The sequence below is a fragment of the Homo sapiens genome, chromosome 13, assembly GCF_000001405.40.
Source record: "Homo sapiens chromosome 13, GRCh38.p14 Primary Assembly".
Taxonomy (NCBI): Eukaryota; Metazoa; Chordata; class Mammalia; order Primates; family Hominidae; genus Homo; species Homo sapiens.
In genome coordinates, this window is record NC_000013.11 from 30,523,722 (window position 1) to 30,538,707 (window position 14,986).

At 42.0% G+C, this 14,986-nt stretch overlaps 1 protein-coding gene across 2 annotated transcripts in view; it reads right to left on the reverse strand.

Annotated features, from left to right (window-relative positions):
• HMGB1 (high mobility group box 1) overlaps positions 1 to 14,986 on the reverse strand; it is a 160,894-nt gene that overhangs the window by 67,018 nt on the left and 78,890 nt on the right.

The following is a 14,986-nucleotide window of genomic DNA, read 5'->3' on the forward strand; positions in this document are numbered from 1 at the left end:
CATTTGTTTTTGTTGGGCCCTTTTTTTTTGTTTGTTTGAGATGGGGCCTCACTCTATTGCCCAGGCTGGAGTGCAGTGGTGCCATCTTGGCTCACTGCAACCCCAATCTCCCAGACTCAAGCAATCTTCCTGCTTCAGCTTCCTATGTAGTTGGGACTACAGGAGAGTGCCACCATTCCCCCACTGTTTTTTTTGTATCTTTTGTAGAGAGGGGGTGTATTAGTCCATTTTCACACTGCTATAAAGAACTGCTGGACACATATACACCATGGAATACTATGCAGCCATAAAAAAGGATTAGTTCATGTCCTTTGCAGGGACATGGATGAAGCTGGAAACCATCATTCTCAGCAAACTAACACAGGAACAGAAAACCAAACACCACATGCTCTCACTCGTAAGGGGGAGTTGAACAATGAGAACACATGGACACAGGGAGGGGAACATCACACACCAGGGCCTGTCAAGGGGTGGGGAGCAAGGGGAGGGAGAGCATTAGGACAAATACCTAATGTAGATGATGGGTTGATGGGTGCAGCAAACCACCATAGCACATGTATACCTATTAATAAAACCTGCACGTTCTGCACATGTATCCCAGAGCTTAAAGTATATTAAAAAAAAAAAAAAAAAAAAGAAAAAAAAGAAGAACTGCCTGAGACTGGGTGGAAAGAGGTTTAATCGACTCACAGTTGAGCACGGCTAGGAAGACTTCAGGAAACTTACAATCGTGGTGGACGGTGAAGGGGAAGCAAGGCACCTTCTTTACAAGGCGGCAGGAGAGGGAATGAATGCAGGAGGAACTACCAAACACTTATAAAACCACCATCAGGTGCCTGTAATCCCAGCTACTTGGGAGGCTGAGGCAGGAGAATCATTTGAACCCAGGAGGCAGAGGTTGCAGTGAACCAAGATCGTGCCATTGCACTCCAGCCTGGGTGACAAGAGCAAGACTCTGTCTCAAAAATAAAATAAAATAAATAATAATAATAATAATAATAATAATTTGGTGAAATTCTTCAACAGACTTGGCTAACTGAAACTGGTATATGAAGTTACCAATATTTATGTCTGTAACCATCTGCAGTTTATACACTTGAAAAGATATATAAAGATTTGGTCACATTGTATTTCACCACAGGCCCCTCCTAAGATTTATTTCTTAATTGGAACCTTGCCTGTGGTTATATATGCGTTGTTTTTTTATCACATAGTAGATATCCAACAAATAAGTATTAAACAAACAAATACATTCTTATTTGTAGGCCAGACAGAACAAATCGGCATAGTAAAATGGTTACAAATATGGCTTTGAAGTCTAACAGGATTGAGTTTAAATCCGAACTCTGCTAACTATTAAAATAATAGAAGTTTCTTAATCTCTCTAAGCTCAGACTCCATGTATAAAATGGCAAAAATAAGAATAGAAACCTCAGAGAGTAGGTGGAAGAACTGGATGATCATTGAAAGCATCTGATCATTTAAAGATAAATGATCATTCAGCACAGTGCTTTGACATTGTATGTTCCTGATAAATGACAGGTGTAATTTTGTTGTCATCACCATTGTTGTTATTTAGAAATGGCCTTTAGGGATGCACAAAATATTGCAGCAAAATGTCTCAGTATTCTTGTTCTTTGGCGTACTCCCAACCCCCACTGGTTTTTGTGACATCAGATGTGAACCACAGCAAAGGAAGAGATGAAAGAATAAAGTATCTCTCAAGACAGACTCAAAGATCCTTGACAGTAGGGCTCTGTCCTATGACTCTTTAGCCCAGTTGTTTTGCACATGGAGGTACTCACTAAATGTTTTTGATAACAAGAATATTGAGGTTCTTAATTATGTAAAAAAATTCAACATACTTAAAAGCTACTAAATGGCAAACTAATAACTTTTTGCAAAAGGAAACTAATACTTTGTTGAAAATTCTTATAAAACAAGTTGTATTTCATAAGATTGCACAGAAACAAAATATTAAACTCCATTATTAACATAAAAAAAAAAACCATCAGGTCTCACGGGAACTCACTCGCTACCATAAGAACAGCATGGGGAAATGGCCCCTGTGATTCAATTACCTCCATCTGGTCTCTCCCTTGACAGGTGGGGATTACAATTCAAGATGAGATTGTGGGGGGACACAAAGCCTAACCATATAATGGGGGTTTCGTCATGTTGCCCAGGCTGGTCTGGAGCTTCTGAGCTCAAGCGATCTGTCCGCTTTGGCCTCCCAAAGTGTTGGGATTATAGGCATGAGCCACTGTGCTCAGCCTGGCAATTTTTTTTAAAATTGGAAGGCAATATGCAACATTAAATAACCCACATCTAACAACTTTTATTTCTTTTTTTTGAGACAGGGTCTTGCTCTGATGCCCAGGCTGGAAGGCAGTAGCATGATATTGGCTCAATGCAACCACCACCTTCCAGGTTCAAGTGATTCTCACGCCTCAGTCTCCTGAGTAGCTGGGATTACAGGCATGCACCACCATGTCTGGCTCATTTTTCTATTTTTAGTAGAGATGGGGTTTCACCATGTTGGCCAGGCTGGTCTCAAACTCCTGACCTCAAGTGATGCGCCTGCCTCGGCCTCCCAAAGTGCTGGGTTTATAGGCGCAAGCCACTACGCCTGGCCCAAACACATATTATATACCACAGACTTGTGAATTATTCATTATTTCTCTAACTCTATGAGATTGTATTTTTTATTCCCATTTTGCAGATGATAAATGAAGGCTGAGAGACATTAAGACAGAGAACAGTGAGACTGGTTCTGCCTGCATATCATTTCACCTCTGAGTCTGAGATTCTTCATCCAGAGAGATCTGCAACCTCACCAGATAACCTAAAAAAAATTAAAATCAAATTGCTATAATCACAGTGCCTGCCTCATAGGGCTATTGGGACATGACGTCTACGAGGAACCTGACAGTGCTTGGCACACAGCAAGACCTTGATATGGGGAGACAGCAAGCCTGCCACCACGAGCCCTAGCTCCACCATCACTAAATGACTTGTCCCAAGACAACCAGAAAGGGGCCTCTGCCCTCTGTCGCCAAAGCTCCTCTCCATACCACAGAGCCTTCCTGTGAGAGAGTCTGTGTGTCTTTATTTCTCTTGCTGTTATCCACAAGTGTTCTAATGATTTAGCAGCACTTGGCACTGTTTTGTCTCAGATCACAATCAGCCTGAGGTCCGTGCTCCATTAGGAATGTCTGCTCATTCCTAACCGCAGTGTTTTCCACACATCCTTCTGATGGCCTTTGGCTTTACATCCTGCAGCTACGCAGGCTCCTTGGCCAGGAGGAGCCCGGAGGGGCCGAGCCCGCCTTTTAACAAGTAGCATGGGTCATTCCCCGCTAGAGGCTCAAGAGTCCTCACAGAGCAGGGGCCGCAGCGGCTGTGCATCCGGTGCTGAACCTTCTCTCTCCAGGGAGGCGGGCGAGAAAGCTGAGAAGGAGCAGTGATCTCAAAAATGGAATGGGACCTGCCTGGGAAGGCAGTTGCTGGGCCTAGGACTTAGGTCCGTAGTCTGTTTGCCAGAACTGAAACTTCAGTTGTAAGAAACTTCAGGGAGAAGCTGGCCTGTCAGCTCACCAAGGAAGGAACCTCTCGGGATGGTGGGCCCCCTGACCTTTGTCCCCACCCTGAGACTGCCATGTAGCTCGGTGAGTAACGCCTGAGTTGGGGTGGTAGCTCCTACCTCTGAGCCTCTTCCCACCTTCCTCAGATGTCGGTGGTCCACAGTGGCTGGGGACTTGCTTCTATGAATGACATATGATTGCCTGTGTCTATGCCACCACTTCCCCTGAGAAAGTGGGCTGTCACTTCCTCAGGGTCAGCATCACCACGACATCCAGCACTGCCCTTAACTGCAGAAACAGAAGGCGCCGATACAGTGTGACACAAAAAGAGATGGAGAGGAGATGGGCAAGCTCACCTTTACTCAGCCCTGACCCCACACCCAGCCCTATGCTGTGCTGAAGTTATTATTCATAAATGTCCACAAGACTCCAAAGGAGTCTTATTCCTGCTCCCAGAGAAGGGAATCAAAGCTTAAAAATAACCTTCCCAAGGTCATATAGCCAAATGTTTAGTGAAGTCAAGGTTCAAAGTCAAACTCTGAAAGATGTGTGCTCTTCCCCCCATAGTAGAATGCCTTCCATAGCCCCCTAATCTATACCCTCCTGCTGCCCTGTCTCTTTTAAAATTGAAATTTTAAAAAGGCAAACCAGGTGTTATTTCAAAATTTTATTTAAAGTTGAGAACAACTGTTTGAAGAGAGCTGTCAGTGGATTTATGCACTCTGGTGAACCTAAATTGGAAAAAGCAGGCACTTTTACAGCAGCGCATCCTCATGCGGTCTTAACAACCTGACCCAGAGCAGGGAACTCGGTGTGCTGCAGCGCCAGTGACCAGGCAACCCGTCTCCTGGGCTGTTTTCTACGTACAGGTTTTGACTCAGGGCTCCCATCGCCAGCAAAATGTAAATATGAAATGTCTTTTTTCAGGTGGGGAATGAGGTGCAGTGATCTTGAGCCATTTACCTTCTTTCATGGCCAACCACAACCAACTGGGACCATCAGAGGGATGGGATGAAGGAGATTTGTACCATTCAGAAGGGATAACTGAAGGGGTTCCCAGCCCAGGGCCCTTCCCTTTTGAGGAACAGAAAGATCACTACTGTGGTGGGGGGAGGGTGAGATCATATTAACCCATAAAAGGACTACCGTATTGCGCTCCCTTGCTTTTGACTGAGTTTACACAAACTTGTGAGGTCACGTTTGTTGCCTCTGGTTGACCAGACGCCCGCATATGCAGTTATATACATATTTGCTTAATTTTCTAAAAAGAGAAACAATGAGTTAGTTGTGTATGCTGTGTGTTTGGAAGATAACATCTCAAGGCATGACATCCATAGAGAACAGCTGATAAGTTAAAAACGGAGAACTACTGGGATGTGGAAGCTGCGAAAGAATCAGGGGAAACATCCTCAACTGAAGTTTGCATAAGATTGAATTTTGGGGCCGGGCGCGGTGGCTCACTCCTGTAATCCCAGCACTTTGGGAGACCGAGGTGGGCTGATCACGAGGTCAGGAGATCGAGACCATCCTGGCTAACACGGTGAAACCCCGTCTCTACTAAAAACACAAAAAAATTAGCCAGGCGTGGTGGCGGGCGCCTCTAGTCCCAGCTCCTTGGTAGGCTGAGGCAGGAGAATGGTGTGAACCCGGGAGGCGGAGCTTGCAGTGAGCCGAGATCGCGCCACTGCACTCCAGCCTGGGCGACAGGGCGAGACTGCGTCTCAAAAAAAAAAAAAAAAAAAAAAAAAAAAAGATTGAATTTTGGATGTCTTGGGTAGTCAGAAAGAATCACATCCTTTATAATTCGGTATTTCTGGATGGTGAAATGAAGAAAGCAGTAAAGACATCCTAAATGATGGAAAAGGCAATGGTGTCTGTGAGTTTCTTTACCCACATCTCCATCACAATGTGACCCTGCACAGTCTCTCTGCGTGCCCCCTTTAGGGACATTACCTGCTCAGAGAGGTTTCACATCTGCCAAGGCCACTCATTCTGAAAGGGAGAAATAATGTGTATTGGAACAAACTTTATCATTGACTTATGCTGGGTCACGGATGTCCTATGAACCAAGGACAACTAATGAGGCAAGAAGTAACTGAGCTATCACCAAAAAGCTGTTTGCAAAGTTATCTGAACATTCTTCCTACATTTAAGGCCCTGTCCACATTTTGCCACATTTTAAAGTTTCTTTATAGTTGTTTGAAACATGACCATTTCAAACTATGATTTTGAAATGAAGTTCCATGAAATCCCTTAGGCATACGAGGCACTGCTGGGTGATGAACGCAAACTTGATTCACTTGTATTGGCTCCTCCAGATGCTGAGTCATTATGATGCCAGATTTCAGTGAGAAAAAGCACATAGAGAATATTGGACACGATTTCTATCGTTGTGAACAAAGGTGAATAGATAGATGGCCCATTTCAGCCAGGCGGATTCAGGGATGCTGAAACAGCAGCCATACAGCTAACAGATTTCTATGCAAAAAAATATGCCACTATCCAATCTGTCTCCCACACACATCTTCTCTCTCTGCTTTTCCTCAACATTCTATCCAGGACCACGTTTCTAAGCATATTATTTCCCTGCCACCATCTAACCAAACTCTAGGCCAGACTTCCAATTGGATTTGCAGAATGTGCATAACATTTCCAAATGGATGGTGGCAATAAAGAAATGATGTCTTCAGTCTGATGAAAAAAATTCAAATTCAACAATGACACCCATTATTTCACATACTGAATTACCAAAGATTTAAAAATAATAACAAATAAAAGCAATAATAAGACAATAATATATAATACACAATACAGTTGAGCATCCCTCATCTGAAAACCCAAAATCCAAAATTTTCTAAAATTTCTAAAACACCTGACTTCTTGTGATGGGTCACAAAAATTACTAAGAATGTTGCATAAAATTACCTTCAGGCTACCTGTATAGAGTGTATATGAAACATCAATGAATTTCATGTTTAGATTTGGGTCCCATGCCCACGATATCTCATTATGTATATGCAAATATTCCAAAATCCTAAAATATCTGAAGTCTGAAACATGTCTGGTCCTGAGCATTTTGTGTAAAGAATACTCAACTTGTGCAGGTAAAAGTGTGTAGGGGAAAAGGAACTCATACATGTACTGCTGGGAATGTAAGTCAGTGCAACATGATAACAATTATCCACATGGATACCCTTTGACCAATACTAGTTCCCCTGTAGGAATTTATCTTACAGATCTGCTCACTGAAGTGTGCAAATATATAGGTAAAAGTATTTTTGTAGCTCTGCTAACAATAGTGAAAATTCTGTCAATAAGGGAATGGTGAAATAAATTACATCTACAAAGTAGAATATTATGCAGTTCTTAAAAAAGACATAGTATATATAAATCTCTGTTGTGGAAAGACTTTTTTTATATGCTTCATGATCTTATTGGTGCAACAAGAACACAAATGCAAGCTGGGCATGGTGGCTCATGCCTGTAATCCTAGCACTTTGGGAGGTGGAGGCAGGCAGATTGCTTGAGCCCAGGAGTTCAAGACCAGCCTGGCCAACATAACGAAATCCTGTCTCTACAAAAAATACAAAAATTAGCTGGGTGTGGTGGCACATGTTTGTAGTCCCAGCTACTCAGAAGGCTGAGGTGAGAAGGTCACCTGAGGCCAGAAGGTCGAGGCTGCAGTGAGCTGATATTGTGCCACTGCACTCCAGACCGGGCAAGAGTGAGACCCTGTCTCAAAAGACAAATAAAAAACAAGTGCACACACACATTTGCATATGCACAGAAGCTGTGAAGACCATACACTGAACCACTGCCATCTTTGGGTAGTGGGACTGAAAGGCATGGTGAAATTGATGACTTTAAGGTTTTACTTTACTAACTGCAGATTTGTTTTTCATGTTTAGGATGAGCTTAAATTGCTACTATAATTTTAAAAATTAAAATGAATGATGGCATCCCCTGTGACAGGTGCCCCGAGCCTGCTGATTAAAGCTAATGAAAGAAAAGAGAACAAGGCCTCAACTGAAATAATGAATCTATCAAGAATAAAAAAAGAGGGTATGTATTCACACAGAAACCCTAGGCACAGTGGCTATTCATTGCTACAGGAATATTTAAAGATGTAGCGCACCCACGCTGGAAGTGGAACTCTCATAACAACCACTAACTACTCGGAACTGCTATGCTAGGTAACATATACGTGTGTGTGTGTGTGTGTGTGTGTGTGTGTGTGTGTGTGTGTGTGTGTTTTCAGCGAAATTTTTTTCCTGAATATGAAAGTCACACATGCTCATTGTAAAATATTTTACAGCTGGTGCGGTGGCTCACGCCTGTAATCCCAGCACTTTGGGAGGCCGAGGTGGGCGGATCACCTGAGGTCAGGAGTTCAAGACCAGCTTGACCAACATGGTGAAACTCTACTACTAAAAATACAAAAATTAGCTGGGCGTGGTGGTGGGCACCTGTAATCCCAACTACTCGGGAGGCTGAAGCAGGAGAATGGCTTGAACCCAGGAGGTGTAGGTTGCAGTGAGCCGAGATCTCACCATTGCACTCCAGCCTGGGCAATAGGGCAAGACTGTCTCAAAATAAATAAATAAATAATAAATAAAATAAATAATAAATAAAACATTTTACAAAACAGAAATCTAAAGTCCTTCATAATTCTACTTCCCAAAGATAGCCACGTTTATGGTATTATAGATTTCTTTATGCATGTCCATAATCTATGTATTTTTAAAAAATCAGGCCAGGCGCAGTGGCTCACACCTGTAATCCCAGCACTTTGGGAGGCCGAGGCGAGCAGATCACAAGGTAAGGAGTTCGACACCAGCCTGATCAACATGGTGAAACCCGTCTCTACTAAAAGTACAAAAATTAGCCGGCATGGTGGTGTGCACCTGTAATCCCAGCTACTCAGGAGGCTGAGGCAGGAGAATCGCTTGAACCCGGGAGGCGGAGGTTGCCGTGAGCTGAGATCTCACCACTGTACTCCAGCCTGGGCGACAGAGCAAGACTCTGTCTCAAAAAAAAAAAAAAAAAATGGGGTCAGGATTTTGCAACTTGTTTTTTTTCCACTAAGCAGTGACGCAGATATCTTTCCATATAAGTAGACCTAGGTATACTTCATTCTTTTAAATAGCTCCATAGTATTCCATTATATTGCTATGTCATAATTAAAAATAAATCAATCCTTTATTTTTTATATATGTTTTTTGAGACGGAGTCTCACTCTGTCGCCCAGGGTGGAGTGCAGTGGCGCAATCTCAGCTCACTGCAACCTCTGCCTGCCAGATTCAAGTGATTCTCCTGCCTCAACCTCCTGAGTAGCTGGGACTACAGGCATGCACCATCATGCCCAGCTAATTTTTATGTTTTTAGTAGAGATGGGGTTTCGCCATGTTAGCTAGGCTGGTCTCAAACTCCTGACCTCAAGTGATCCACCTGCCTCGGCTGGGATTACAGGGGTGAGCCACCATGCCTGCCCCTTATTAGCTTTTTAATCTCCTTCCAGATGTTTGGTTTTATAAGACTGCAATCAACCATCCATGCATGTGAATCTGTGCACATGAGTACTTCCACAGATGAGCTCCTAGAAGTAGAATACAGCTTGATTGGAGGTGACATATATTCTTTAAATCCTCATTACAACCCTATGAAATAGGTGTTATTTCCCCCACTTTTACAAAAGAGGCAATAGAGTATCACAATAGCTTCATAACTTCACCTGTAAAGTAAGGGGCTGAACTAAGCTTCACACCCAGGTCCAGCTGAGCCCAAAACACGTATTTTTTCCACCATGAGACCCAGATTCACATGCAGCAGGGGAGACAGAAGGATTCAGCAGCAGTGGGCAGTGGGGCCAAGCAAAGGGCCCTGGAGCCAATGTACCATGCAGGGAGGCACTGGGATTGGAGCCTGGGGACATTTGTGAAACCACAGCCCAGAGACTTCACAGTCTGGTGCTGTTCTCCAATGTGGCTCAGTTAGGGCTTCTGGAGTTCTCATCTATAACAGAACCATAACGCTTCCTCTATATCAGTGTCTTTCAAACTTTGTTTTTTGTTGTTTTTGAGACAGAGTCTCACTCTGTCACCCAGGCCAGAGTGCAGAGGTGTGATCTTGGGTCATTGCAACCTTCACCTCCTGGGTTCAAGTGATTCTCCTGCCTTAGCCTCCCAAGTAGCTGGGATTACAGGTGTGTGCCACCAGGCCTGGCTAACTTTTGTATTTTTAGTGGAGACGGGATTTCACCATGTTAGCCAGGCTGATCTCAAACTCCTGACCTCGAGTGATCCACCGGCCTCGGCCTCCTGAAGTTCTAGGATTACAGGTGTGAGCCACTGTGCCCGGCCCAAATTTTGGATTACATGACTCTCAGTAAGACCAATATTTGCCTTGTGACACAGGTATACACATGTATAAAACTAAAACAGAAGTGTCATAAAATAATAATTCTATTAGCTAATTGCAATGTATTGTAAATTTTTCCCTTACATAATTTAAAAAAAAATCCCCAATTTGAAAATTCTGTAGTAAATCCTGGTAAAGACTATCTTTTTTTTTTTTTTTAAGATGGAGTTTCGCTCTTGTTGCCCGGGCTGGAGTGCAATGGTGTGATCTCGGCTCACCGCAACCTCCGCCTCCCAGGTTCAAGCAATTCTCCTGCCTTAGCCTCCCAAGTAGCTGGGATTACAGGCATGCACCACCACACCCGGCTAATTTTGTATTTTTAGTGGAGACAGGGTTTCTCCATGTTGGTAAGGCTGGTCTTGAACTCCCAACCTCAGGTGATCTGCCTGCCTCCCAAAGTGCTGGGATTATATGCGTGAGCCACCGCGCCTGGCCCTAAGACTATCTTTATCTCCCTAGGTTGGTGAACATGTGAAAAAGATGACCGTCCAAATTCCTCATTCTGATTCAAGTTCCTTCCTGAGCTGGTCCCATTTCCCCTGCTCACTCAGCCAGTTCAGTCACACTCCACGGCCCAGGCCAAACTCAGTCTCGTCTCTCACTTTAGCCTCCCATGGCTCCCTTCTTTGGGCGAAAGCTCTGCTCTACAAAAATGGATGCGAGCACAATATAATACCCTTCACGTTGGACTTGTATAGCTTGATCATTAAAATGGTCATTTTTTTTTCCCCACACATATTTAAGGAGAGCCTTGTCAACTTTCCAAGGACTGCCCTTAAATTTTTAAATATTCTTGTCATTCTTTTTGGAAGCACCTATTATGTTATCATCCTTATCTTACTCTTTTTTTCTATGTTGTTAATTAGTTTAACTCTAGCCTATGGTTCAAGCTGCTTTTTTTTTTTTTTTTTTTTGACACCATCTTTGCTCATTGCAACCTCCGCCTCCAGGTTCAAACTATTCTCCTGCCTCAGCCTCCCGAGCAGCTGGGATTATGGGCATGTGCCACCACATCAGTTAACTTTTGTACTTTTAGTAGAGATGGGGTTTCACCATGTTGGCTAGGCTGGTCTTGAACTCCTGGCCTCAGGTGATCTGCCCGCCCTGGCCTCCCAAAGTGCTAGGATTACAGGTTTGAGCCACCATGCCCAGCCAGTTCAAGCTGTTTTCTAACATCACTTTCAGAGGCTCCGTGACATTTTCCACCTTCTAGATTAGCATTTTCACTGTGCTATCCATTTGCTGTGCTTTAATGTATACAGCACTGGAGAGACTGTTCAATGACTTACAGATGCTAAGAGGCAAGAGATGCTTGAATGAGGACTAATTTCACAAGTCGGTATTAGATTATTTGTTAATCTTTTCTGCAGGGACTCTCATAATGAATCTTTGGATAAGGAGGGTCCTCTGTACAACCTTCCCCACTCAGCCTTTCTCTTTCTGCCCTATCACAGAATTGTAGCCTCTGTCTTGACAAGCCAGCCAGCAGCACTTGATGGAGTTCATCCGAAGCTGTGCTTTGCCAGTACTTTGAAAAGGAGGGAACTTCAGTGTTTGCTTAGTTCATTCTCAAGTTTCTTGCCAAGATTTGGAAACAACAAAAATAGTTTTCATGAGAATGATTGAGAACTTCTGAAATTCAATATTTTGGGGAAAAAACTGTGTTTGCATATGTATGTATTGCTACTTTCTCTAAGCTGGAAAGATGATTGATACTAGTAACTCACAAAAAAGGTGAACATCTTTTCCTCCATGCTTCTCTTTACCATTTGAAATTCTGGAAGTTTCTAGGATTAATTGCTTCAGCAGGAAAACTGCAAAGATACCATGCTTATTGTATCTTACCATTCCACTTATTTGAATTAATGTGCACTTTTAAAAAACCTGCAGGGCACAGGGACTCACGCCTGTAATCCCAGCACTTTGGGAAGCTGAGGAGGGCAGATCACCTAAGGTCAGGAGTTCGAAACCAGCCTGGCCAACATGGCGAAACCACATCTCTACTAAAAATACAAAAATTAGCCAGGCGTGGTGCCACATGCCTGTTATCCCAGCTACTTGGGAGGCTGAGGCAGGAGAATCACTTGAACCCAGGAGGCAGAGGTTGCAGGGAGTTGAGATTGTGCCACTGCACTCCAGCCTGGTGACAAGAGCAAAACTCTGTCTCAAAACAAAAACTGAAACAAAAATAAACCTATTTTCTGCTCACGATTAAGACAGGAATATAGGCAAAAGCTAAGCAACACACTCAAGTAATCTAAGTCCATTTTTGTAATTATTACCAATAACGTAATTCAGAAAATGGAAGCATATTTTAAATTTGATTTTCTTACCGTGTACACTACAGAACTAGATAAAAAATTAAAGTGTACTTAAAGGTTTCCTTCAGAAGGGATAGAAAAATGTTTTATTTTCTCAAATTAAATAGAAGTTACTGCAATAAACAATTCTGTGTTGCAGATTAACCAATTATTTTTCTCCTCATAGTGTTTTTAAAATTATCAAAACAACATATATGCATAGTATATAAAACATAATATTGACTTCCTATCATAGGGTATTAGGATTCAGACTTTTTTTTTAACTTTTGCTTCACAATGCAATGTACTTTCCCCCTTCTCCTCTCCTAATTTCCCAATATGTATATTTTTAAAAACTAATTTTGTTTTTGAACTGGAGTGCAGTGGTGCGATCTCGGCTCACTGCAAGCTCTGTCTCCTGGGTTCAAGTGATTCTCCTGCTTCAGCCTTGAGAGTAGCTGGGACTATAGGCACATGCCACCACACCCGGCTAATTTTTGTATTTTTAGTGGAGACAGGCTTTCACCATGTTGGCCAGGCTGGTCTCGAACTCCTGACCTCAGGTGATCTGCCCACCTCAGCCTCCCAAAGTGCTGGGATTACAGGCGTGAGCCACCATGCCCGGCCTAAAAATTAAATTAACATTCATATTATTCAACAACTGTGTAAATATTGTTCACTGTAGTGGACCCTCATTGCATTTCCTTTCTTGACATCTTTTTGTTTTCCGGTAGCTAGTAATTATCTTTTTTGTTTCCATTTGCTTAGCTTTCTAGGTTCCTATCGCTATTTGTCACCATACTCTCCAACAGAACTTTAAAACTCCTCTCGTACCACTTGGGCTACTGACTTCTTGGCAGCATCCTCGATCCTGCTCCACAGGGCCTGGATTCATCTCCAAGCCCGCAGCTCTACAGCTGCTTCCAACCATCATTTTGGAAATTCTCTTCCCTTCTTCTCCGTTCCATGGGTCCTCTGTCTTCCCTGTTCGTATATTTGTGATGTCTTCTAGAAACTTCCTGAGAAAGGATGCACAGGCAGAAAATTTTTTGAGACTATGTTTTATGAAATGTCTTTATTTTACCTTCTCAGTTGATTGACAGTTTGGACATAATTTCCCCTTAGAATGTTACAGGCATTTCTCCTTTTTTGTTTAGTTCCCAGTAATACTTTTAAGAAGTCTTAAGTTATTCTGTCTTGATCCTTTTATCTCCCCACCGTCACCCAGCCACAACCAAAGCTTTTTGCATCTCCTCTCTATCCCCATAAATTTCACTATGGTGTGTTTTGATATGGAACTTAGAAAAACGTTGTTTTTACTGAAGTATAACATACAGAAGAGCACAAATCATTTTACAAAATGAACAAACATTTTGTGTAACTAATACCTAGATTAAGAAACAGTGCTACCAAGAGCCACTACCTGCTCCTCGTGAGAACTGCTATTGTAATTTCCAGTACCATAGATCAGATTGCCTGTTTTTGAATTTTTATAGAAATGAAATCATTGTAAAATGTGTATTTTTTAAAAAAAATGTACTCTTTTGCTCCTGGTCTCTTTCATTCACCATTAATTTTGTCTGATTCACCCACGTCGCTGCATGTGGTGGCAATTCATTCATTCTTGTTCATATATATATATATATATATATATATATATATATATATATATATAAAATTGATGTATCCAATGTTAATGAGGATGGACTTGTGACTATTTCCATTCTGGGGATACTAGAGATAGGGCTGTCATAAATGTTTCTGTACACGCCCTCTGTTGAACAGATGTAGTTCTGTTGGACGGCATAAGACATTTTTCATTTTCAATCTGAATTCTTCCTTCAGTTTGGTGAAAATTGCTGGAATTAATTCTTTCGTGATTTCTCCCTTCTTCTCTTTTTTAAAATTTATTTTTTAACACAACATCAAGTTTCCTTTATCATCTATAATACAGTTATACCCAAACTTTCTAAGACCAAACAGACAGTCCCCTGCCCAGAGCAGGAAATTCCAATGAGCCCCTAAAGACACACAAAGGTGAATGTGGAAGATCATAGTTCCAGCTGCAGGTCACAAGTCTTCCATTCAAACACTCCATGCTTTTCATTTCTGTTTGTTAAAGAAAGCGTCTTACAGGACGTTGTTGAAAATAATTTCATCCCAGACACCGGGTTTCTTCAATAATACACAGCTCCATGAAATCTGTGTTTCCATCCGACTGACAGGAATACAAAGTAATTTTTATTGTTTTATTTTAATTTTTTGGTGGTATAGAGAAGTAAAACTATCAGTCAGATTCCTTTAGTAATAAAGAAAAGGAGGGGAAAGAAAGCATTTGGGCTTTGCTGGATGCTGGTTTCTACTTGTCTGAGGGTATGACTTCAATAGTTAAATCACCCTGACACCACTGCAGTAACTAGTACTAGCAATTCTTTCTTTCTTTCTTTCTTTCTTTCTTTCTTTCTTTCTTTCTTTCTTTCTTTCTTTCCTTTCTTTCTTTCCTTTCTTTCTTTCCTTTCTTTCTTTCTTTCTTTTTCTTTCTTCTTTTTCTTTCTTTCTTTCTTTTTCTTTCTTCTTTTTCTTTCTTTCTCTTTCTCTCTCTCTTTCTTTTTCTTTCTTCCTTTCTTTCTTTCTTTCTTTCCTTTCTTTCTTTCTTTCTTTCCTTTCTTTCTTTCTTTCTTTTTC